At 38.7% G+C, this 26,616-nt stretch overlaps 1 protein-coding gene across 52 annotated transcripts in view; it reads left to right on the top strand.

The window, feature by feature from the left end:
• The window catches only part of SETD5 (SET domain containing 5), an 80,540-nt gene that overhangs the window by 36,355 nt on the left and 17,569 nt on the right, over positions 1-26,616 (top strand). For 18 of the 52 annotated variants that reach the window (XM_047448468.1, XM_047448473.1, XM_047448482.1 and 15 more), the window contains 14 exons: positions 308-516; positions 855-913; positions 1,759-1,937; positions 2,881-2,919; positions 6,487-6,729; positions 7,624-7,772; positions 8,159-8,276; positions 9,339-9,448; positions 11,079-11,331; positions 11,688-11,771; positions 13,081-13,338; positions 13,717-14,037; positions 14,419-14,661; positions 19,770-19,899. In XM_047448468.1, coding sequence (XP_047304424.1) covers positions 308-516; positions 855-913; positions 1,759-1,937; positions 2,881-2,919; positions 6,487-6,729; positions 7,624-7,772; positions 8,159-8,276; positions 9,339-9,448; positions 11,079-11,331; positions 11,688-11,771; positions 13,081-13,338; positions 13,717-14,037; positions 14,419-14,661; positions 19,770-19,899 — 2,395 coding nt within the window. Of the gene's footprint in view, positions 1-75; positions 213-307; positions 517-620; positions 662-854; positions 914-1,758; positions 1,938-2,880; positions 2,920-6,486; positions 6,730-7,623; positions 7,773-8,158; positions 8,277-9,338; positions 9,449-11,078; positions 11,332-11,687; positions 11,772-13,080; positions 13,339-13,716; positions 14,038-14,418; positions 14,662-15,510; positions 15,624-19,769; positions 19,900-20,035; positions 20,133-26,616 lie in introns of those variants that run through there. The other 34 variants (XM_047448496.1, XM_047448490.1, XM_047448497.1 and 31 more) reach the window with 10 other exon arrangements.

Genomic DNA, 26,616 nt, shown 5'->3' on the forward strand with positions numbered 1-26,616 from the left:
TCTCCAGAACAGTGATCTTCCTGGAGTGTAATCCATTCTTATACATTGTGACTTTCTTGAAATGTTTATATGCAGCATGACGAAGTTGCCCCTTTTGCACTTCCCTGACTCCAGCGGACGTCTAGCCCTGCATCATTGTTCTTGTTTTTATGTCCCAGTTGACCTTGGCATTTTGTTTTATCACTTTCCTGGTTGAAGCCAAAAAACAAAGGGTACTACTTTCTTCTTTCTTTCCATATGTACCATACTTTAGGGGAGAGAGGGGCCAGTGTTTGGACACTGTTGATTTAAAAAATCTTATTTTCAGGATCATAATTACGGAGCCCCTCCTCCTCCGACACCTCCTGCTTCTCCCCCTGTCCAGACGATCATCCCTCGTTCTGACCTGAATGGCCTGCCGTCGCCTGTAGAGGAACGCTGTGGAGACAGCCCGAACTCTGAAGGAGAAACTGTACCTACCTGGTGTCCTTGTGGTCTTTCTCAGGATGGCTTCCTTCTCAACTGTGACAAGTGCAGGTAAGATCCTGTTCCATCTAAATTTAAGTCTGGGTTGCTGGGATTAGGGTTTCTTACAAGTAGGGAAAAGCTCAAAGTATTCTTTCTTGTGTTTGTTAATGTAGATGATTCCTTAGTGCTCCTTGGCTCGAATTCTCTGCACTAGGTGAGAATTGCTGACAACAAGGAATGAGAGATTGATGTTAAAGCTATTGAATTTGATATGAAATTTAATGTCCTGGAAACATTTGGTAGGTGGGAGGGAGGGGGTAGCATATGCAGAGACACTTCGCCCATGTGTGCTATGATGTGATGCATGCTGTTGGAAGGACTACTTTAAGTTTATTTTCCCTCTTTAGGGGAATGAGCAGGGGGAAGGTTATTAGACTTCATCGGCGGAAGCAGGACAACATATCAGGTGAGCGGAAGATGGGTTAGGTCCACAATTTGACATAAAAATATTCTGTGATCTGAATGTTCATTTTAAGAACCCCTCTTGGCCAGGCGCAGTGGCTTACGCCTGTAATCTCACCACTTAGGGAGGCCAAAGCGGGCGGATCACCTGAGGTCGGGAGTTTGAGACCAGCCTGACCAACATGGAGAAACCCCATCTCTACTGAAAATCCAAAATAGCCAGGTGTGGTGGCGCATGCCTGTAATCCCAGCTACTTGGGAGGCTGAGGCAGGAGAATCGCTTGAACCCGGGAGGCGGAAGTTGCCATGAGCTGAGATTGCGCCAGTGCACTCCAGCCTGGGCAACAAGAGCAAAACTCCCTCTCAAAAAAAAAAAAAAAAAAAAAAGAACCCCTCTTACAAGTTCCCATGGTCCCCCAGCCAGCTCTTTTCACAGAAAGAGATAGAAGTCCTCTCAAGACCACTGTATAGTTCTCTCATTGTAAACGAAATGTGTTGAGAACAGTTTAGTCCTGTAGCAAAGTATTCCTTGTGAACACAAAAAATATGGATTCCTGTTTTAAAAATTAGCCAGTCTCAAATTGTTATAGATTGAGTCAGCGAAGCTTAGGGACTGAATACAAGGGGAGAAATAAATACCATGAGGAACAGGGTTTATATGCTTAATGCCAATGACATAGAATCTTGTTTTCTTAAGGAAGATGAGTATTTAACGTTGCTTTACAGATGATAAGAGTTAATAGTGGAAGTAATGGCTTACTGCATGTGGGGCACACCTAAAAGAATAAGCTACTTTTAATGTACTTTTGAGGCTATTAGTACCTGAACTATGAAATCATCATTTTTCAGGTGGGGATAGCAGTGCAACAGAAAGCTGGGATGAGGAGCTTTCTCCTTCCACTGTGTTGTATACAGCAACACAGCACACACCTACAAGCATCACCTTAACTGTTAGAAGAACCAAACCCAAGAAGCGGAAAAAGAGTCCAGAAAAGGGTCGTGCAGCACCAAAGACGAAGAAAATCAAGGTATGCAGGGTAAAAATATCTTAAATAGAAATTGTCTGAAATAGCTTAAATTTTGGAGCAAGAATGCACCAAAATTCTTTTAAGAAGTTTGATCCAGGTGTTTGAAGGGCCACTTTTGTTCTACTTGCAAAAATCAGCTAATCTGTGTTATGTACATGTAGACCAACCTCTCTTCTGCCACACCATATCATCACCACTGGCTCAAAGTTTCTTCTACTCCAGTCCCCATCCCAGGTATGAAATTCCAGCCCTACCTGGCACAATCCCGTATGTGTTGCAGCCTCAAGTCTAGGCTTCCACTATCCTTACAGTATCTCCCCACCTCTCAACCCCAAAGTACAGTCTGAAATTCTTGTCCTGGTTACATGCCTCATGTCTTTGGGTTGATTGTTTTTCCTTGTTTCAAAAAAAATAAAAATCAGGAAACATCTCTTGTATGGTCTAGGTTTCCTCAGTGTCATGGTCACTTTCCTGTATTCTCAGCTAAAATGTCTACGGGAGAAACTTCTTCTGGTTTGTGTTCTTTCTTCCCCATCACAGCAACTTTGTTGCTTCTAGGTGACTTGTTCATCCCTTGTTAAGGGGATTGGTCTTTGTTTCCTTCTTAGTTTCAAAACTGGTAAATCTGCAACTTTAAAGTTTTTTTTTATTTACTTTTTCTCTTAGTATCAGAGGTGCATATAGGATTTAAGAGATGCATGCTCTTCCCTGTTAATTACCTAGCTTCACAGTAGAAAGTATTAAAATTAGTCTCAGAGTTCATTGGCCTTGAGCTACCCCTATTCTTGGTAATAGTTTGGGGAATTCCATTGTATTTTTTACCTAGAGAAAGGGGGACAGAATAGAACACTAGTTTGTGCCTTAGTTTTAGTCTCAGATAGGTATAACTGTCATTCTTGGTACCAAGTTTTGTTTGTTCTACTTGTTTTCCTCCTTGGGATAGGCATTTCGAGAGGGATCCCGGAAGTCCTTGCGGATGAAGGTAAGGGGTAATCTTCGCTGATGCTGTGTTTTACTTCACTGTGATCTTGCATTTTGGTCAGCTTCTTTCCTGACATTGATGGTCTGGGAATCTTGGACTCTGCTTTTCATTAGTTTGTAGTTGTTGCCATTCAGTTTTCATAGAGCTTTTCTCCAAAGTAGATTTTCTTGGCCATTTTCTGAAATATTTTCCCTTTCTGTAATCAGCCTTCATTGATTGGTTTTTCATTCATTGCTTTCCTAGGGGGTAAGTGACATTTTTCCAAACAAAATGAGGCTAGTGTGTTCTGTCACTGTGATTGAACTCAACCTTAGGAGTGGAGTTTTTCTGGTAATGATACAGGATCTCTTGTGCATCTACCCTAGCACTGTGTGGGCTTTAATTGCAGGACGCTTGTATTATTGATAAGAATTACTGTTTTCTCTTAGCATATCTGTTTGGTGGAAAAAACTTAGGTAATGCTAGCATGTTTCTTAAGATATCAAATAAAAGAGTTTATGAAGTATGATTTTGTAAAGAACTTGGAGAATAGAGCAAGTATGTGGAATGGTTTAAAAGAAGTGTAAGGTGCTGGTTGATTAAAAATAGCTTGCCAAAAGGAGATTTGATTATGCTGTCTGGTATCCTCCTTTACGTGTGTGTGTGTGTGTGTGTGTGTGTGTATAAATATATATATATGAGGAAAACATGCCTCTCAAATTATTACTGGGGGCTTCAAAGCATTTAAATAGAATTAAATTCAAGTTTATGAGTATTCATATTCCTAAATGATACAAAAGCAGGATCTTTCCTATTGAGAGTTATAGGGCATAAATATTAAAATCTTTAGTAAGGCCAGGCGCAGTAGCTCACGCCTGTAATCCTAGCACTTTGGAAGACCAAGGCAAGTGGATCACCTGAGGTCAGGAATTCAAGACCAGCCTGGCCAACATGGTGAAACCCCATCTCTACTAAAAATACCAAAATTAGCCAGGCGTGGTGGCAGGCACCTGTAGTCCCAGCTGCTTGGGAGGCTGAGGCAGGAGAATCGCTTGAACCCAGGAGGCAGTGGTTGTAGTGAGCCGAGATCACGCCACTGCACTCCAGCCTGGGCAACAGAGCAAGACTCCATCTCAAAAAAAAAAAAAAATTCAGTAAGGATAAGCTTTTTAGGATTGCTTTATGTGCAGCACCAGTGTGACTGGTGTTAGCAAAGATTACAGGTAGCACTTTACCTAAAGTTTGAAGGCCCCACTTAGTATCTATCTTTAAACAGACTTGCACATACCTGTGAAAGAGTTGGGAGAGGACTCAGAGCTACAGAGCATCAGAGGCCTGGGATGTGTCTTGGAAGACAAATCAATCATGCCTTTGCTGGATCCGTCTCTTGCAAGTGGCCAAGTTTGCTTTAGCTTCCCCTTTATTTTTGTCTCATTTGCTTAGAGAGGGGCCTTTTAAATAGACTTTGGAGGCAGATAATAGCCCTAATCCTGGCTACTAAATGCTTTTCTCTTATCAAGCAACTATCATAACTTATCTCCAGAAGCTCGAAACCTTTCAAAAGCTATAAACTGGCTCTACCAGAAAACTGCACATAAACCCCATATTTTGCTTACAGTTTTGGGAGGTTGACAGCCTCACAGGTGTGTTAAAATTTAGAAAAAAAAATTACTAGTCATTTTGATTCTTTTAATTCTAAATTGAGTTATAAATTTTATGCTCAGAATTACTAGTTTAAAACTCCTCCAGTGATCCAGGTGGGAGCCATAAGAATTAGAAAAAATTATCATTTGGATTTTTAATCCCAGTGTCAAGAGCAGCTTCCCTACTGAAGACTTAATTGTAAATCAGGGTTTCTCAGTCTTGACACTGTTGACAGTTTGGACCAGATAATTCTTTGTTGTGGAAGGGACTGTTCTGTGCTTTCAAGATGTGAACAGGATCCCTGGTGTCTACCCACTAGATGCCGGTAACACTCATACACTCAGTTGAGATTATCAAAAATGTCTTCAGATATTACCAAATGTCACCTGGGTGCAAAATTTCCCTCAATTGAGAACCACTACTCTAAACCCAACTGAGGTAGAGTCTCTAATGCCTTGAAGGATGGGACAGCAGAGTAAACACACAGTGAGATTAGCGAACAATGGCTAATACTGTGACAGAGGCTTCCAGAATACAGTACACTTATCAAGTGTAAGTTTAACAATTGCCACTTAAAGCTGGGAATATTGTTTGGACACTGCCAGTCCCCCTAGTCTGTAAGCTCCATTAAGCCTAAGGTTTTGCACTATTCTTTTGCGCAACTGCTACTGATGTCAAGCAGGCGATACTCTGATTGTCAGTATGTTGGCTTTAGGTGTTTCTTTAGATCCCTTTGTTTATTGTTCAGTCTTTTGGACTCTAGTAAGAAATGTGGAGACAATAGTGTTGATTTTTTTTCTTCTATACTCCTGTTCCTTGCAGAAAGGATAGTAGACAATAATCAGTCAGCAACAGTGATGCAAAAGTGGTAAAAGAAAGTGTTATGATAAGCATCAGTGTTTTCTGTGCCATTCATAGAAAGTATATTTAATTTTATTGTACCTGTTTGCAAGTTTAATGTGGACATGGATTTTCAAGTAGCTTTGGTACTACAGTGTCTTTTCCTTCTAATCATCACTAGCATGACATCATCACTGTCAGTGTTTGTTTTGTTTTCTGATGGCACTTAAGTCTTGAACACCGTGGAGGAGAACATGTATTGGGCTTATGCTTTGTCTCTGTAGCTCAGGCACTGTCTGCCTAGGAAGCTGTTCCTGAGTTGTAGTAATCTTTTCTCAATACTGTCACCATAGAGGGCAATGGTTTTCCTAGAGGAGTATAGCAAAGTACCTCCTAGACATTTTCTATATTCTCCCTACCTACTCCTCTCCCCTCACTTCACCTCTTCAGATTATTTAGAATGTGGTAATTTAAATTGTTGAAAATAGAGTGTTAGAAAGATATACTCAAATAATAACTTTTTATATGGGTAGTAAGATTGGGATTGGATTAATGAGATTGATTGATTAAGATCACATCTAGGTTTAGAATGAACATGTATTATGAAAATAATAAGTGATACAAAAACATGCATTCTCCTGGAGAATAGTCAAAAAACCAGTTTGGGCTAACACTTAACACAGATATTCAGTGAGTATGAAAAATTTAAGCAGTGATAAATTTGAGGTCTCTACTGTTCATTTGTATGAAGATTTTCTTATGAACTTGATGTCAGTCCTTTGATTAGAAAATTGATTTTTATGACTTTAAAATGGTCATAAAATCACAGTGATGGGATGAAACTATGATCCAGATTAATTTCTTACTTTATAAATGGAGAAACTGAGCTTCCCCATTTAAAGAAGTTATTCAAGGTCTCACCTCTCATTGGTAACAAAAGCATGATAGAAACCAGATCCTCTGACTCCCAGTCCATTACTCTTTTATGCCACATCAATTGCCAAGTGATAAATTTTCTCTGGAACCCCAGCTTGTCCCACCCCCATTCCCAACCCTCTATTTATGCATGGACTTTACTAACCTCCCTGAATTTGTTTTCTACAGAATTCTCCCTCTGAAGCACAGAATTTAGATGAGAATACAACTGAGGGCTGGGAAAATCGGATAAGACTATGGACTGACCAGTATGAAGAAGCTTTCACTAATCAGTACAGTGCAGATGTACAGAACGCGCTTGAACAACACCTACATTCTAGCAAGGAATTTGTGGGCAAACCTACTATTTTAGACACTATTAATAAGACTGAATTGGCCTGTAATAACACAGTTATTGGTTCCCAAATGCAGGTAAGCACCAAAGGGTTGAGGACTCTCTAAGTAGCTGAAATTTTAAGAACCCAGGAAGAGGGTAATGGATTGGAATTACTGTTCCTTCCAAATGTACAAGGCCATGGAATAACAGATTAGCCAGGTGTTGATCATATGTAACCAAAAGTAGGTTATATTAACTGGAAACTACCTGGATACATATTTTTAAACTACCTTTATTAATAAAAAAATAGATGAATTGAGGCTGTGTGCAGTGCAGTGGCTCACTCCTATAATACAACACTTTGGCAAGAAGCCAAGGTGGAAGGATTGCTTGAGGCCAGCAGTTCAAGACCAGCCTGTACAACATAGTGAGACCCTCTCTTTACAAAAAAAAAAAATTAAAAGCCGTTGTGATGATACACACCTGTAAGTCCCAGCTACTGGGGAGGCTGAGGTGGAAGGATCACTTGAATGAATTTGAGGTTATAGTAAGCTATGATTGCACCACTGCACTCCAGCCTGAATGAAAGAGTGAGACCCTGGCTCTATTTAAAAAACAGAGAGAGAGATGACTTAGTATGGGAAATTCTATATACCCTAGGTAGGAATTATGTAATATTTATAGAAAGTTAAGCATGTTCTTTCTCATCTTTATTTTAGAGATAGAGTCACTGAAGTCTTAATCATGTATTTTTTTTTTTTTTTTAATATTTTCTTGCCGTTTCTGGGGAGGCAATTTCACTAGATGTAGCATGTCTCTTAGAAAAATTGAGCTTTCATCACATTTTAAAATTTCTCATCATTGATCTAAATAACATGTACAGATAAAACCTGAAAATATTAGCATGTTTTCCTTAATTATGAAGTAATTTGAGTGTCTACTAAGGTGTTCTTGCTGTTGTTTAATGTTATTGCTCTGGTTTTATTCAGTTACAGCTGGGAAGAGTCACTCGTGTTCAAAAGCACCGGAAGATCCTGAGGGCTGCAAGAGATTTGGCTTTGGACACTCTTATAATAGAGTATCGTGGGAAAGTCATGTTACGACAGCAATTTGAGGTCAATGGGCATTTCTTCAAAAAGTAAGAACGTCATTCATTGAGCAGTGAGGGCTAAGGTGGACCTGGTTGACCAGTGTTGTTGTAAAAATCATTCTGTTTGATAAGACGCTCTTGGGAGAAAAAAATCACAACTCAGATAAGCTCACACCTGTCTGCTATTTGTAGAGAAGTGCAAGTAAATCTTCAAATTGTTCAATGTATAAAATGGTGACACCTCCTTTCCAAGCCAAGCATTCCTTGCTTTGTGCTTGTTCTTTAATCAAAAGCAGACAAACGTGATGCTTTCCCAAGTTTAGGCGTTGCAAAAGACTGCTGCTGCTTCTCTCAGCATATGCTTCATATTTGGAGTCATGGGGTGGCCTTCTTATTTGTGTTGAGAATTACAGGAATTTTAATTGTATCCCTAGACCATACCCCTTTGTGCTCTTCTACTCAAAATTCAATGGTGTAGAGATGTGTGTGGATGCCCGTACTTTCGGTAATGATGCTCGGTTCATCAGAAGATCATGTACACCAAATGCAGAGGTAAGATATCTGTAGCAACTTCCCTTTGACTGGAACCATCAAATGACAAGCTTACTGAAGAAGCAGTGTGAAAACTTCACTCAGATAAAGGTCTGTAGATAATAGTCGTGATATTTCATCGTGGGAGGTGAAAAACAAAAGTAATGGTGCTTTTATACGACAAAATGGGCGCAAGGAAAGAGTTTTCTTTAGAGAAGGCAGAAATAGAAAAGAGCAAGTTAGCATTTGCTAAGGAGAAAAAGCTAGACTGGATAAGAAAATCAAGTGTAGTTATATTAAAGAGATTGCCATACGGTGGAAGTAGATGTTGTTAGGCCTAACTAAGCTATTTGGTTGCAGTTTTTTTAGATTTTAGTGAGTAATGTTTTATGAGAGGATCTAGACATTTCTAGAATTCATTACTCAGAGCAACCACATCAAATAAAGCAAGAAAATCCACAGAGCTTTACTTACTGGCTAAGGAATTTTAATTCTCTGGTGGAGCTGGAAACAGCTATAAGATGTGAAAGCGGCTGGGCGCAGTGGCTCATGCCTGTAATCCCAGCACTTCGGAAGGCTGAGGTGGGCAGATAACAAGGTCAGGAGTTCGAGACCAGCCTGGCCAACATGGTGAAACCCCGTCTCTACTAAAAAAAAATAGAAAACTTAGCCAGGCATTGTGGCGTGTGCCTGTATTCCCAGGTACTCAGGAGGCTGAGACAGGAGAATTGCTTGAACCCGGGAGGCAGAGGTTGCCGTGAGCCGAGATCACGCCACTCCACTCCAGCCTGAGCGACAGAGCAAGACTGTATCTCAAAAAAAAGATGTGAAAGTAGAGATTTTACCCTGATTTCTAACATCTCAAGGTTTCTCCACATATTTAAGAAAGTATTATAAATTTTCAAGCCAGTGCAGTATAATAGTTTCAGATGAAATGAAGGGGTTAAATAACAGATTACCATAACTCCTTAAATAAATAATAGATTACCATAACTCCAAATGGAGAGAAAGTATGGTTTTTTTCTCTCTTACGGAAAGTTCATGGTCTTTATGAAAAATCCAACCAGAAGCCTTTTCACACAGGTGCGACACATGATTGCAGATGGGATGATTCACCTGTGCATCTATGCTGTGTCTGCCATCACCAAGGATGCTGAGGTCACCATAGCATTTGATTATGAGTATAGTAACTGGTAAGACCTCAGAAACCTTTCCTAACAGGAATATCCATGTCTTACATATTAAGCTATTCACTCTATTTAAAGTCTGCTCTTGTTTCTTGCCTTTTCCTTTGTTTACTTAATCTTTTCATGACTAATGAATTTTCTGCCTAGAAATTGTAAAGGAAAAGACAGGCAAGATTTTTTTTAGAGATACGGATACCTTGTATGATACTGCTCACAAATTTCCTGACAGAAGTGTTTTCGCTTATGCCTTTTTAGCAAGAATAGCAAAATGGATATATATGTATGTATGAGACACTCCTGGAAATTACAATAGCATCCTGTTGTTATGCACAGAGTACTTATGTCAGGGACCATATAGAATGAGAATTTAGGCCAGGCGCAGTGGCTCACAGGCCTGTAATCTCAACACTTTGGAAGGCTGAGGCGGGCGGATCACGAGGTCAGGAGATCGAGACCATCCTGGCCAATGATGAAACCCTGTCTCTACTAAAAACACAAAAATTAGCTGGGCGTGGCGGCACACGCCTGTAGTCCCAGCCACTTGAGAGGCTGAGGCAGGAGAATCACTCGAACCTGAGAGGCTGAGGCTGCAGTAAGCCAAGATCACGCCACTGCACTCCAGCCTGGCAACAGAGGGAGACTCTGTCTTAAAAAAAAAGAGAGAGAATTTAATATGTTACCTCTACTTTTAATTTGTCAATTATACCCTTATAAAGCTAGGGGTGAGATTTAAAGATCCACCCTGTCCACAGAAACCATGTTATCTAGCTGTATATGACAGTGCAGAAAACCATAAAGGGCAATTCATAGATGAATATGTGGGATTTTTTAAAGTATATGCTTTTTGTTCTTTGGTCATTTGGGGCAAAATAGAGGTTATGTGGTAAAGTGATGTTTGGCCCAGGTATAAGGAAAAAAGATGTTCTGCTTAATTCATCAAGGAAAATAAAAAAGGTTTTAAGAAGGTTATAAAAGGTTTTAAGAAGTAGGGAATTAGTAGGTAAAAGTGAGGACATGGTAATCGTGGGCACAAGATGAGTATGGCCACATCAGACTTTATCATTGATAAACTGCCTGCTAAATAGCCAATAAACCACTGGGGGGATTGAATTTAGGGAGGGCTTTCTTTTTTTTTTCCCACTGACCATGGAGTAGAATTGGGGTTACACAAAGAAAGACAGAATATTGAAAGTGTTACGTCAGGCGCGGTGACTGACGCCTGTAATCCCAGCACTTTGGGAGGCTAAGGCTGGAGGATCACTTGAGCCCAGGAGTTCAAGACCAGCCTAGACAACATGGCAAAACCCCGTCTCTGCCGAAAATAAAAAAATTAGCTGGGCGTGTAGTCCCAGCTACTCAGGAGGCTGAGGTAGGAGGATCACTTGAGCCCAGGAAACAGAGATTACCGAGAGCTGTGATGCACCACTGCACTCCAGCCTAGATGACAGAGCGAGATTCCGTCTCCAATAAAAAGAAAAACAAAAGTATTTATAGGACTCTCTAATGTCTCTGTTTAACTTATTCAGAGACAATATCAGAGGAAGTTACTGTACTGATATTTTAAGAGGGTGAATGGATAATGTAACTGAATTTCAAGGGTACTGAGACAGGCATTTTGGTTGTTTCTTTGGAGCAGTAATTATAAAGTGGACTGTGCCTGTCACAAGGGAAACCGGAATTGTCCTATACAAAAAAGGAATCCTAATGCTACAGAACTGCCACTCCTACCACCTCCTCCAAGCCTACCCACCATTGGAGCAGAGACTAGACGTAGAAAAGCACGACGGAAAGAGCTAGAGATGGAGCAGCAGAATGAGGCTTCAGAGGAGAATAATGACCAGCAATCACAAGAAGTTCCAGAAAAAGTAACTGTATCCAGTGATCATGAGGTAATCGCCCCTGGTCAAATGATGATGCTATGGCATCAATCCTCCAAAGGAAGAGGAACCCGGGTTGCCGCATGGTTTAAGTAGGGGAGCTATAGTAACACTTAGTGCCCTTTATATCAATGTGGGTTTATTGTGTTCATACATTTCTTTCTGTTTTACAAAGTCAAAAACATCCTTTGCTGGTTTTGCACCAGAGAATAGGGGTTAGTTATCATCTGTGTTTACCATGTGGCCTCACATGAGTTAACAGTTTAAAGCACTAGAGATTGTTATAGAGAGTTTTAAGCTACCAGAATAAAACAGATTGATTTTTTCTCAGAGCTTGAGTACAGCTGAATATTGCCTCTATCTTAAAGGAAGTAGACAATCCAGAAGAAAAACCAGAAGAAGAGAAAGAAGAGGTTATAGATGACCAGGAGAACCTAGCTCATAGCAGGAGGGTGAGTACTGTCTGACATTACTTTGCTCCTTCTCATTCCTGCTACCTCCATCATGTGAACCTCTTCTGTTCTCTTGACTTTGTATCATCTCATTGATTTGACCTGAAGGTTATAATTTGGGCTTTTTCCGTAATAAAGATTTTATTATAATTTTTTTATTTATTTTTCTCTATACACACAGTAGTTTTGTAGTGATTATTATCTAGTGATGGTTTGAAGAGGTTGTTTTTTTTTTTTTTTTTTTTTTTACTAACAATCTGGTTTCCGCTGGGCGCGGTGGCTCACGCCTGTAATCCCAGCACTTTGGGAGGGCGAGGTGGGCGGATCACGAGGTCAGGAGATCGAGACCATCCTCGCTAACACGGTGAAACCTTGTCTCTACTAAAAATACAAAAAATTAGCCGGGCGCGGTGGCGGGTGCCTGTAGTCCCAGCTACTCGGGAGGCTAAGGCAGGAGAATGGCATGAACCTGGGAGGCAGAGCTTGCAGTGAGTGGAGATAGCGCCACTGCACTCCGGCCTGGGCAAAAGAGCGAGACTCCATCTCAAAAAAAAAAAAAAAAAAAAAATCTGGTTTCCGAAAAACTGGCTGGTCAGAATCAAAATGTATTATAGTTGGTTTGCTCTGAATTAGGAATTTTCTAGGTTTTTGTGAGTTCTGAAGTTTTTTTAAACCCTTTTAGTCATATGAACTAAAATTTTCTACTTTTATGCTGAAACCAATCCTGTGTGTTTATGACCCTGATTTGATGACTTTTTTTTTTTTCTTTTTGAGACCGACTCTTGCTCTGTCACCAGGCTGGAGTGCAGTGGCGCAATCTCAACTCACCACAATCTCTGCCTCCCGGGTTCAAGCAATTCCCCTTCCTTAGCCTCCCAAGTAGCTGGCATTACAAGCATGCGCCACCATGCCTGGGTAATTTTTTGTATTTTAGTAGAGACGGAGTTTCACCATGTTGGCCACGACGGTCTCAATCTCCCGACCTCATGATCTTCCCACCTCAGCCTCCCAAAGTACTGGGATTACAGGCGTGAGCCACTGCACCCATCCTGTTTTTCTTTCATATTAAAGTTTCAAAATAACTGACCCTTTTTGAAAAGTTTATGTTTGACCTTGCCTTTATTTACAACTATTCCCCACATTTAAAATGAAATATTTTATTTTTAATCTTCTGTTTTCCAAGTTATATGTGTCATCTTACTGGTAGTTAAATGAATTTCTGTAAATTTCCATTAAAAATACTTTTATAAAAGCTATCCACTCGTCCTCATTTGAAGCTTCCTTCTACACCAGTACTATCTCTTTCTAGACCAGGGAAGATAGAAAGGTAGAAGCCATCATGCATGCTTTTGAAAACTTAGAGAAAAGAAAGAAGCGGCGGGATCAGCCCTTGGAACAGAGCAACTCTGATGTAGAGATTACTACAACCACCTCAGAGACTCCTGTTGGTGAAGAGACAAAAACTGAAGCCCCTGAATCTGAAGTTAGCAACTCTGTTTCAAATGTTACCATCCCAAGCACCCCACAGAGTGTTGGTGTGAATACCCGGAGGTCTTCCCAAGCAGGGGTAAGAGTTGAAAAGACTTCAGCACTTAGACATCCTCACCTTTGCTAATGTCAATACCTAACTTTTGGAATTTTTAAAATCAGTGTTTTCAGCTTTGCTCCATATCACAATAAATAAGGCCATTAACTGTTTAACTGGAACCATTTCATTGGCCTATTTTATAAATGCTTATTAGAAATAACGCAAACATTTGTCGCTAGCCTCTTTAGCTCATTTAAGTGTATACATTTTTGTATTTAAAAATTAGATTTTAAATTAGTGTTTCTAATCCTTATATTTTTCATCAGTAGACATTCTGAATGCTTAAAGTGAATAGGAAATTAGACTGTTTGCTGATAAAACATTTCTGGTAAGCATCTGACCCTACTATTGCTACAGGATATTGCTGCAGAAAAACTAGTCCCCAAGCCACCTCCAGCAAAGCCTTCTAGGCCCCGGCCGAAGAGTCGAATTTCTCGGTACAGGACCAGTTCAGCCCAAAGACTAAAGCGTCAGAAGCAGGCCAATGCACAGCAGGCAGAATTGTCACAAGCTGCCTTGGAAGAGGGAGGAAGTAACAGTTTAGTAACTCCTACTGAAGCTGGAAGTCTAGACAGTTCAGGAGAAAACAGGCCATTAACAGGGTCTGACCCAACTGTGGTGTCAATTACTGGATCCCATGTCAACCGTGCTGCATCTAAATACCCCAAAACCAAAAAGGTAAGTCACAAATGCATCCTTTATAAGTCCAGTCTGGCAAGGGCTGTCTTAGTGAAATGAGAGGACCTATAATCCCTAGAAGAAACTAATCTCAATATTACTAGATTGAAAGTTCTAAAATGCTTTGACACAAAAGGCTGGAGTCATCCTGCTACCTGTTTCCTTATTTTTAGTCAGCTTAAATCACTGATAGCTGAAATTATTCCTCTCTTAGTGGGCGTGGAGAGGGTGAAGGAAGATATCCTTGTGTTCTAGTTGCTCAATTCATTCTTACTGCAGCTGCTGCATCTCCTCCTGTCCTAGTTTCTAGATGACGTTTGTCTTTATGAACTACACTGCTACCTCTTGATTTATAAACTAATGATCTCTTTTTTACCTTAGTATCTAGTTACAGAATGGTTGAATGACAAAGCAGAGAAGCAAGAGTGCCCTGTTGAGTGCCCTTTACGTATCACAACGGATCCAACTGTACTGGCAACGACCCTAAACATGTTACCAGGTCTTATCCATTCCCCGTTAATTTGCACCACCCCCAAACACTACATTCGCTTTGGCTCACCCTTTATCCCTGAGAGACGTCGAAGGCCCCTTCTGCCTGATGGCACATTCAGCTCCTGTAAGAAGGTATGTCTGTGTTTTTGTGTGTGTGTTGTGTTTATGTGTGTGTGCTTTATTTTTTTAAGCCTAAGATTCCTATCATCATGACATAAATAAAATGTTCTCTAGATAGCCACTCTGCCCATGTGAGTTTATAATGAGTTAGTTGTTCAGCCATAAATACTGATTCATCAAGAGTCTGTGAGACTGTGGTGGAATGAATGTACTGCATTTTTAGTGCTCAGATTTGTGACTGGTCACTGATGTCTCTTCTGAGAACCCTTGAGGTTCCTGAGTGAGAGCACACAGCAGTGGATGACTGGGTAGAGACGGATATGTTTTGTGTGTGCTCTTGTGATATGGGTTAACATGTCCATTTATGATTATTGTGTGAGATTAGGCCCTGGGTCCTCTAGAACACTGTTGCATAAATGAAAAAAATTAAATTGTTTTGAATCAATTCAACCGTTATTATCCACTATCATCACTTGAAGGAAATTAGAGGAAAAATCCTATTGTAATTGGCATAATTCCTGTTCCTTGATCAAATGACAAGTCGGACTGTTTATTCCAAGAGAATACAGAATCTACCCTAAAAGACTCTCTTTCCCTCTCTGTTTCTGCCTCTTTCTCCTCTTTCCAGTTACTTACTGTTTTTGGATCTAGTGGCAGTAGCGTTTGGTGGTGTTTTTGGAATGCTCTTTCTTAATTCCCAGAAGCCCTGCATATTTTCCAAAGGTGTCTCTTAGGAATAGATCACTCCCTCAGATCTATGATGTCGTTTTCCATGTTTCTAGAAGTATAGGACACCCTTTCATTTGGTCTTCCTTTGAGGTAGAGTCTGTTCCCTGGAACACCCTTTTCTCTTATCCTCAGATCTGGATTCAGGCTGCCTTCCTCAGTGTCTGCCATTGCCCTCCTCCACTGGCATCACGTACATGAGGATGCTGCATGTAGATTATTTGATGTGATGAAGTCTCCAACTCCAGGCAGGTCTTCCCTGACTCCTCCAAACTTAAAAGCTTTTCTCTTTCCCCAAAGAACAGAAGTTATTTCTCCGGGGGAGGGGGGCATGAAAGATGAGCCAAAGTGGTGTGGGATATGGAGGGGAGGAGGGCAATAGGAATCTGCAAAAAGGAAGGACACTACTGCTGAATGAGCAGCACATTGCAGAAAGTCTTTTCCTAATTGCACATCTTACCTAAACATTGGAATCACTCATTGGTTTGTTCGGGGAAACGCTCGTAGAATTCCTAAAGAGAAATTTGACCATTTCTAAGGATGTTAACTGTTGAAGCATCTTATCAAGCCAGGTCGTACAATCTCCTATTTTGGTCCTTTAAGGAGTGTAGGCAATTATTTATTACAGATAAGTAATGAAGTCTGAGCTGCAAATAATATGAACTAGGCTCTTGAATTGAAATTCCTTCTTGATAATTCTAATGCTGGGTTGCAGTCTTTCTGTTTCCATCTTTTCCAACTAGCAGAGACTTAACGAAAACCAAAAACGTGTCTAGGACTGTAACTTCAGATCTGGTAGAAAATGCATTTCTTTAAGCTTTTTTAACTTGGTTCTGCTTTTATACTTGTATCTATAGCACATCCTTAAATTTCTACGGGCAACAGATAGAAATTCCATTTAACACAAGTCCCTGTTATATTCTCCAAGTGTATCTGACTATCCTTAATCTCATTTATACAGGCTCTACTCAAGCACTTTTATCTATGTGTCATGGTTAGTCTTTAGGAAGAGTTTAGGCTGCATACACAGGATTATCATAACAAGACTATTTAAATAGGATCTTTAAAAACTGTTTAAGTCATTGCTTTATTGTGTGCTGTTCACATATCAAGATTCTATTTTTTAAAATACAGCTTTTTATGAGGCAAAATAAAATGAAATGGAATGTTTTAGCTAGAATAGAATTTGGCTTTATAGCAGTGAAGAAGAGTTCTTCTTCTAATATTGGTCTTCTTCTAATATCTCCTAATATTGGTTAGAAAGGACTTACCTAATGCAGAACCTAAGAACATTTTCATTATTCAACAAAATTGTAATAAAATTCTGAAAATCCCTCAGAGTATAAGTTAATCAGATAGATAAGAAAACCCTCCATGGGATTATTTAGAACAATGTATATTTCTAATAGGCTCACTGTTTCATATCTCACTAAAGAGGTAAGGGCCTGGCCTTGTAAGTTAAAAACTTACCAGTATAGGACAAATTAAAGTTGTATCTGTATAGTTGTACTCAGATTCTTATGCTATTTATTTTTATTTTTATCATTATTATTCTGCAACTTCTGAAAAGAAGAGGAGTTCAGGTATTTGACAGAACATTTTATGATATCCCTAGAGTTTCTAAATTGAATCATAGTTTTTAAGAAGCATTTTGCATTTTTTAGTTCCTCAGTTGGTATTTTAAAAACATTTATAAGTGGCCAACAAGGCTCTCAGTAGTGTTTCACCTTGTTCTCTCTAAACTCCTCTTCTAAACACAATGTGTATAGGGCATTTGGTCTCCAGACTTCTTAGAAAAACCAGTCTGACTGATAATGAAACAGTGTGCTTTGCATTGATAATTAATATTTCATTTTATACACTGGAGCATTATCTGTAAATCTCCAAACATAGCATTGAAATTTAGTTGAACCGGGACTCGGTGAAAATCTGCTCAGTGTTCAGTACTGTACTATAAGCTTTCTTCACATACATTATCTCACTTACCATGCATGAAATTGGGATCATTGTCCTAAATTTATATATCCAGAAGCTTTGTCTCAGAAATGTTTGGTAACTTGTCCAAAGTGAAGCAGCTAATAAGTGACACAGCCAGATTTCTTCTGGTGGGGGATAGTAGGGGTTCACAGGGTCTCACTGTTGTCCAGGCTGGAGTGCAGTGGCATCATCACAGGCTCACTGCAGCCTTGACCTCCTGGGCTCAAATGGTCCTCCTACCTCAACCTCTCGTGTAGCTGGGACCACAGGCACACCACCACGCCTGGCTAATATTCATATTTTTTGTAGCGACAGGGTTTTGCTGTGTTTCCTAGGCTGATCTCAAACTCCTGAGTGCAAGGAGTCTGCCCACCTTGGCCTCACATTCTGCTGGGATTACAGATACGAGCTACTGAGCCCAGCCTCACAGCCAAGTGTCAAGCCAGGGCTTCTGGACTCCAAAACCTGTATTGCTTCCTTGCTCTTTCGCCATAATAGCGAGACCTTTAAAATATTTATCCATCTTTGAGCCTCCCAGAAAACTCCTTTGCAATATATTTTAATAGAGGTTCAGAGAAGGGAGAAATGTTCTTTTGATTTTAACAACTTGCTGAGTAGGTGCATCTAAAATTAACTTATTATCCATGAGGTTAATTGTATCTTGTTAGATACAAACAAATGTCCATGTTCCTTTTTTATATGAGTCCTGAAATATTGTAAAATTATACAACAGAACCTGGAGGAGTAGGTTTGATTGTATTTGCTGTGTTTCACCTCATAGCTAACCATGGTAGCATCTTTCTTCTAGAATACTCCTGTTCTGATTTTATGTTCCCTTTTTGTAGTCATCAGATCCAGAATGTAAATTATTTTACAAGTACATCTACTAGACCCTGGAAATATTAAAAAATTACTCAGATAGGAAAGCTTAGTGACCCCAAATGAGTGTTTTCTGCTTTGAAAAGAAAAACTTAAAGGTGGCCATAACAAAAGATTTTTCACTCCTGAGCCTAATTTTTCCATTTATAAAATGAGTGCTTTGGACAAGATGACTTCTAAGTTCTCTTCTAAGCTTTAAGGCTATATGTATGGTTCTGACAATTCATCTTTACATCATTATTCTGTATCTAAGATAGTTCATTCTTCGGATTTTTTATTTTGTTTTTGTGTTTGCTTTTCAGAGACCTGGTTGTATCCTAAAATGTTTACGTGATTCAAATTACCATTGAGAGCTCTTTTTTATATCCTTGTTCACTCTTCCTTCCAAGTGTTTACAGGTTTACAGTTTCAGTTTTGCTTTCATTTGGCCAGCCACAATGACATTTGTATGATGTAAGATTTTTTTTTTTTTTTTTTTTTTTTTGGTAAAATTTTTGTGGATTGTTTCCTAGGTTTCTAAGAGGGAAAATCTATGAGAATTGCTCTCTGGTGAAGAGAGTATTTACTTACCTGTAATACATGTTCTCTAAAGGTATAAATTATAATAATTCACCTTTGCTCTTCCTATTGGGGGAGGGTCTTACTCAGAAATTGATGTTTATCAAAATTCGATCTGTCTTATGTCAGGGCAGGAGAGCCACAGAGTGGTGAGCAACCTACAACTGTATATCTTAAGAGAACACAATTACAGGTAAGAAATTTTCTGTCTTCCACAGGATACATAATCTTATTATCCTAATCTTTGCAGGTTTACTATCTGGCCTAAATTTATTTCTTGTCAGTTTATTATTCTAATCTTTACTACCAAAAACTTGTGACTGATAGGTCTTCTTTTTGACTTTTTCCCTTTTTTTTGATTTCTACTGAAGCTCATTTCGTGATTTGCATTACTCATGCATAATTTAACCAAACTACTTGTTGGAGGGGGGAGTCCCATAGGTTATTTCATTTGAAATAAACCTTTTGGAAACGCTTTTGGTACCTGTAGTGAAGAGCTATTAATCCTCATCCAAAATCTTCCAATGAATCTTTTTTATTACCTCTTCACACGTCTCTAGCACGGGGCAGACAACTTTTAAGAGATCTTTATCTTCCTTCTAGGCGCTTATTTTATATATTAGTTTTATTCTATACGATCACAGTCTCTCCTAAATAAATGTTAAGATTTCTTCCTCAGTCTTGCCATTTTACACCATCCCAAATGGTATGAAAAGTTGAATAGCAGTCATTTTTTATTGGTTTTTGTCTTTTGATGGGATCTCATTATATGTAATCCAGATTTCCTCAAGTTTTTCAGTTAAAAGGAATTGATAGGACAATGTTCCAATATGCTGAGACACAAGACAATAAAATGCTTGACTGTGTAACTGAATTAGTGTGTTGAATTGTATCACTCACCAGTTGATGTACATTTAAAACAGGTGCACTAAATAGTTTTAGATAATTATTGATAATTCTCTGGTTCTTTTCAATTATAGCGCTGGATAAAACAAGCCTTAGAAGAAGGGATGACTCAAACATCATCTGTACCCCAAGAGACTAGAACTCAGCACCTATACCAAAGCAATGAGAATAGTAGCTCTTCTAGTATCTGCAAAGACAATGCAGGTACGTATCTAAAACCTTTCTGATTATATGACCAATGATTGTTTCAGGTCTGCATAAAAAATTTAAGTATGAGTATTTCTGATACAAAAAGAAATGGCGTGTTTTCTAAATAGTTACTTTACATCTGTCTTTACAGAGGAAGAGAGAGATCTCAAGTCAGGGATCAGTTTTCCCAGGACGACAAAGAAGGACTAGACAGTGTACAGATAACAGCAGAAATGGTTATAAAAAAGGTTAGATACATTTAAAGTAGTAAGTTTAGGAAATTTATATTCATATTTATAAGATGGGGCAAGGGCAAGAAAGTGGTGGAACACTAATATTCAGGAAAGAATTAAAATTCTGAGTGATTAAGTTGGGTGGGACATGGTTGAGGGAGCAGGGGATGAATGAAATAAGTGAAAAATTATTATCAATTGATTGTTTTCAAAGGGGCTTGTATAATTAGCATACAATTTTTAAAAGAACAGCCGGGCGCTGTGGCTCGCACCTGTAATCCCAGCACTTTGGGAAGCCAAGGTGGGTGGATCACCTGAGGTCAGGAGTTCGAGACCAACGTGGCCAACATGGTGAAACCCTGTCTCTACCAAAAATGCAAAAATTAGCTGGGTGTGGTGGCAGGTGCCTGTAATCCCTCCCTAAACAGGAGGCTGAGGCAGTGGAGAATCACTTGAACCCGGGAGGTGGAGGTTACAGTGAGCCAAGATCACGCCACTGCACTCCAGCCTGGGCGACAAGAATGAAACTCCGTCTCAAAAAAAAAAAAAAAAAAAAAAAAAAAACAAATTTTTTAAGACAGCTTTAAATCTAAAGTCTTTGTGCATTTTTAAACTAGATGTCAATGAAAAATCATCTGTTCCATTGGTTTTGACAGTGACTTGCAAAGGATGTAATTGAAAGCACTTGTGATATCTTAATGTATTTTGTGACAATCTTTTTACCAGTTTCTCCTGCAAATATCAGCTTAATTGAAAAGTTCTTTGTGATTTTCATAACTTTTCTCTAAATCAGTTTTTTAAATATTAGACAATCAAAATACCAAAGTAAATTAGATGCTAAAGCAACCTTTCAGGTTGCAACAAACAGAATATTTCACATTTTCATAAAAAACCCACTTCATTGTTCCTGTTTACCAACTTGCTGAATAAATGTAATGAACTTGAATTTAATTAGATAAATTTTTAGTAGCAGATATTGCAACTAAAATCAGAACTTTTCTTAAAGTTCTTACTTCATTTGGATTTTACTTCTTTTTAGATTTTATTTCAGAAAACGTGAATTGCCTTTTTTTCTTTTTTTCTTTTTTTTTTTTTTTTTTTTTTGAAATGGAGAATCAAGCGATTCTCCCTGCCTCAGCCTCCCGAGTAACTGGGATTACAGGCGCCCGCCACCTCACCCGGCAAATTTTTATATTTTGAGTAGAGACGGGGTTTCACCATGTTGGCCAGGCTAGTCTCGAACTCCTGACCTCAGGAGATCCGCCCACCTCGGCTTCCCAAAGTGCTGGGATTACAGGCATGAGCCACCATGCCTGGCTGTGAATTGCCATTTTTTAAATTATGGATTTAGTTTATTCTTTTGTCTCTAGATTAGATTATACCTCATAAGTTACCACCTATATACCTCAGGATAATAAAATTCCAGTTATCTGAAAGATAAATTATACTGTTTATTTAAAATATTTTCTTCTAGTATTCACCAAAAATTAGGGATATTTAGTCAAATATGAATAGTATAAAGAAATCTTGGTACCAGATTTCCATTTGTATTATTTCTTTTTTAACAGCTTTTAAGGTGTTAGTAAGAATATAACTTAGCTGAAATAGACTATCATGTTTGTGTATCTATCTGGTGTGTGTGTTAATGCATGTGTATAGTTAAGGTTGGGAACAGGAGATTGCATAGCAGTTCACATCCTGACTAGCAAAGGATTATAGGAAAAGTGTCTTTGTTATCACATGCCCTGGTTGGAAGGAAATTAGGATTCCTAGTCACCAGCCTTTTTTGTTATTGTTGAGCTTCTGCCCTAGTCTAACAGTGAGAAACACTCACAGGACACACCTTGCCCTTAAAAAGCAATGTAGGAAAATATTTGATTTTAAAAATCAAGCAGCAGTCAAATGCGCAAGTTATATTGCTACAAAATTAGCATAAATTCTGAGGAATTACTTTTATTTGTTGGCTCTCTTTTGTTTTTTTCAAGAATACCAAAGAGACATTAAGAAAGGGGAAAGGATTTCTATAATAGAAAAAATCAAACAGACCTTTACTTGAAAACCAGCTGTCCCCTTTACTAACTATATGATGTTACTAGAAGTCTCTGAGGCTAGGCGTTGGTGGCTCACACCTGTAATCCCAGCACTTTGGGAGGCCAAGGTGGGCGGATCATCTGAGGTCAGGAGTTCAAGACCAGCCTGGCCAACATGGTGAAACCCTGTCTCTACTAAAAATACAAAAATTAGCTGGGCCTGGTCACGTACCTGTAATCCCAGCTATTTGGGAGGCTGAGGCAGGAGAATTGCTTGAACCTGGAGGTGGAGGTTGCAGTGAGACGAGATTGCGCCACTCCACTCCAGCCTGGGTGACGGAGGGAGATTCTGTCTTTAAAACTTAAAAAAAAAAAAAAAAACAAGTCTCTGAGCCTCATTTGTAAAATGGGAATAGCAATACCTGCTTTATAGAGCTAACATTAGAATGAATAATGTATATAAAGTTCTCAATATAGTATCAGGCCCATAAGAGTAATTATTATACGGTCATTATTCTACACAGAATACTCTTTCTTGTAGAGTATTTGTGGATTAATAAATACATTAAAGATTCTGGCTGGGTGTGATGGCTCACGCCTGTAATCCCAGCACTTTGGGAGGCTGAGGCGGGCAGATCACGAGGTGAAAAGATTGAGACCATCCTGGCCAACATGGTGAAATCCCATCTCTACTAAAAATACAAAAAAAATTAGCTGGGCATGGTGGCATGCACCTGTAGTCCCAGCTACTCAGGAGGCTGAGGCAGGAGGATTGCTTGAACCTGGGAGGCAGAAGTTGCAGTGAGCCAAGGTCACGCCACTGCACTCCAGCCTGGCAATAGAGTGAGACTCCGTCTCAAAAAGAAAGAAAGAAAGAAAGAGAGGGAGGGAAGAAAGAAAAGAGAAAAGAAAAGAAGAAAGAAATACACTAAATATTTTAAGTTCCTAAAAGCTGAAACTTTATAGAAATAAAAGTTATTATCAAAGTAGGGCAGGGGCATGATGTTCATTATTTGTAAATGATGTGGGTCTATTCTTAGAAGAGCCTAAGTAATCAGCTGAAAAACTTAGAATTAATAATAAGAGTTTAGGCCAGGCGTGGTGGCTCACGCCTGTAATCCCAGCACTTTGGGAGGCCGAGATGGGTGGATCACAAGGTCAGGAGATCGAGACCATCCTTGCTAACACAGTGAAACCCCATCTCTACTAAAAATACAAAAAATTAGCTGTGCGTGGTGGTGGGCACTTGTAGTCCCGCTACTCGGGGGGCTGAGGCAGGAAAATAGCATGAACCCAGGAGGCGGAGGTTGCAGTGAGCTGAGATCGCGCCACTGCACTCCTGCCTGGGCAATAGAGTGAGACTCTGTCTCAAAAAATATATATATATACTAATAATAATAATAAGAGTTTATTAATATCACTGGATAGAAGGATAAATATATAAAAAGTGTAAATATATTTTAAAAAATCATTTATATACCAAGAAAGTAAATGAATACCAATTTTTTTTGTTCCCAAACTTAACAAAACTAAGAAACTGCCTAGGAATAACCTTAGTTGGGTATATGGAGTAAACTGTTACTGAGAAATATTTTTAAAGTCTGAGGAAATGGAAATTTCTTTTTCTTTTTTTTTTTTTCATGAATCATACGTGAGCCTTTGATAAATTTCATGTTCATTATGGAAAGAATATATATATGTGTATATATATATTTCTTTCTCTTTCTCTCTGTCTTTATATAGTTCCCATGAAACTGCCTTGTTTTTGGAATTTGATTAAATGATTCTGAAGTCTACCTTTAAAAAAATAAGAAAAAAATTGAAAAAATAATAATGAAGTACTTTCTCTTGAGGTGTAAGACGAGCTTCTAGTATGAAGCTAATAGTTAAATTTAGTATAATATTGATGCAAGAATGGATGTATATATGGAACAAAATAGTCAGAATAGGCCTAAATATAAATGTAAAAGTTGGTAAATTGTCATGGAATTTTTAGTTAGGAGATTGAAAAAGAATTAGAATCTAGCTGGACACGGTGGCACGTGCCTGTAACTCTCAACTACTTGGGAGGCTGAGGTAGGAGGATCACTCAAGCCCAGGAGTCAAGTTCAACCTGCGCAACACAGCAAGACCTTGTCTTCAAAAGAACTACTAGGTCCTTTGCCAAAGAAAATTCTAGGCACATTCAAATATATATATTTTTTTAATTCAAACTTGGGCCTGGCATGGTGACTCTCACCTGCAATTTCCAGCTCTTTGGGATGCCAAGGCAGAAGGATCACTTGAGGCCAGGAATTTGAGACCAGCCTGGGCAGCAGAGAGAGACCCACATCTCTACAAAAAATAAAAATTAGCCAGGCATGATGGTGGGTTGCCTGTAGCCTTAAGGAGGCTGAAGTAGGAGGATGACTTGAGCCCAAGAATTTGAGGCTGCAGTGAGCTGTGATAATGCCACTGCGTTCCAGCCTGAATGACAGCAAGACATCTGTCTCTAAAAATAATAAAATAAATAATTCAAACTGTATTAACCATGTTTTTGTGTCTATACTGCCTCTGTATTAATAGAGGATTAGTACATTGGGGAAAGGATTTGCAGTAAAACTGCCGGGGAGTAATATCCCTGCTAGCAATCTGATAAAATTTATCATGTGCATTAAAAATATTCATAATCCTTAACCTAGTAGTCGTTCATTTGTTCTGCTTGGTATCTTTCCTACAGAAATAGACAAAGAAACCAAAATTTATATATAAGGTTGGTGCAAAAGTAATTGCGTTTTTGGACCATTAATTTTAAATCACTGTAACTAGACTCAGACACATCTTTATTAATCAAAATAGGAACCACTGCAATCAACACATTTTTGCCACTGAGAAATAAGTTTGTTTATTCCTGTAGCCTAAAAATCTATGCTTCAGGATTCGACAAACTCTTGGAAAATATTTTCTGCATCCTGCTGGTTGTGGAAGCACCTTCCCTGTAAAAAGTTGTCAGATGCTTGAAGTGGTACCTGGTTGGCGAGAGGTCAGGTGAACATGGCGGGTGAGACGAAACTCTGTAGTCAAATTTGTTCAGCAGCTTCAGAAGTTGAATGAATTGTTTATTAGAATAATTAATTCTTAGTTATTAACAATTGCAAAAACTATAGGTTAAAAATAATCTGAATTCCAACCCCAGGAATGGTAGAATTTGTAATTTTATCTGCTTGTGCACATACTTGTAATGGAGTATCATATACTATTTATTGAAAATCTTATTTTTGATTCATTTTATCAAATTAACTCCCTCTACCCCCAAAAACAGCGTAGTACCACTTTTGAATTAGATTTGTGATCTTACCTAGCACCTTGAATTTGTAAGAATATTAAAAGAATAGCCAGGTGTGGTGGCTCACGCCTGTAATCCCAGCACTTTGGGAGGCCGAGGCAGGCGGATCACGAGGTCAGGAGATCCAGACCATCCTGGCTAACACGGCGAAACCCCGTCTCTACTAAAAATACAACAACAACAACAAAAAAAAAAACCGGGCATAGTGGCAGGCGCCTGTAATCCCAGCTACTCGCCACTGCACTCCAGCCTGGGCGACAGCGAGACTCCATCAAAAAAAAAAAAAAAAAAGAATATTAAAAGAAGAATATACGATGACTAAGGTTCCTTCTAGGAATGTAAGGATGAGTTAATATTTGAAAATTTAATAATCGTCATTTGTTAGCAGGTCAAATGGGGGAGGAGAAGTCATAACACAGTGACTTTTATCAATTTAATGATAAAATAACATACTATGATCTTTTAATATCTAGCTGAAAAATTGCCAGTTGTCATGCATCATGAAAACTAGTTAAACATCAAAATAGGCTATCAAATTATCCCACTATTACCATTATTATTTAATATAGTCTAAGTAATTGTTAGCCAAAGTAATTACACCAACCCCCTCCCCCCCACAAAAAAAATCAACATAAGAGATATAAGTACTGGTAAAGAGGGTTAATGTGTTATCATGTACAAATACTATTATCTACCTAGAGAGTTAATTGAAAAACTGGTAGAGATTAATAGGGTAACTGGATAAAAAATAAGTATGTAAACTTTTTAAATGTTAATAACATTTAGATAACAAAGGGAGAGATACGTTTTATTCATAGTAGTAAAAAAAAAAAACTAAAGAACTCTGGAGAGTAAACTTAATTAGACATGTGGTATATATAGATGAAGAGGGACATAATATGTGAATAACAAAGATTATGCCATGTTCCTGGGTAAGAATGCTTCTCAAATTACTCCTGAATTTCATCTAACACCAATCAAAATCCTAACTTTTTTTTTTTTTTTTAATAGTATGAGCATGGTCATTGAATGACTTCTATAGTTCATTGCTAGAATAGCTAAAATATTTTGGAGAACTAGAACAGAATAACTGGAATTTCCCTAACAATTTTAATAAAAAGTATGCTGGTGTTGATTCAGTATT

Source organism: Homo sapiens, chromosome 3 (assembly GCF_000001405.40).
Source record: "Homo sapiens chromosome 3, GRCh38.p14 Primary Assembly".
Taxonomy (NCBI): domain Eukaryota; kingdom Metazoa; phylum Chordata; class Mammalia; order Primates; family Hominidae; genus Homo; species Homo sapiens.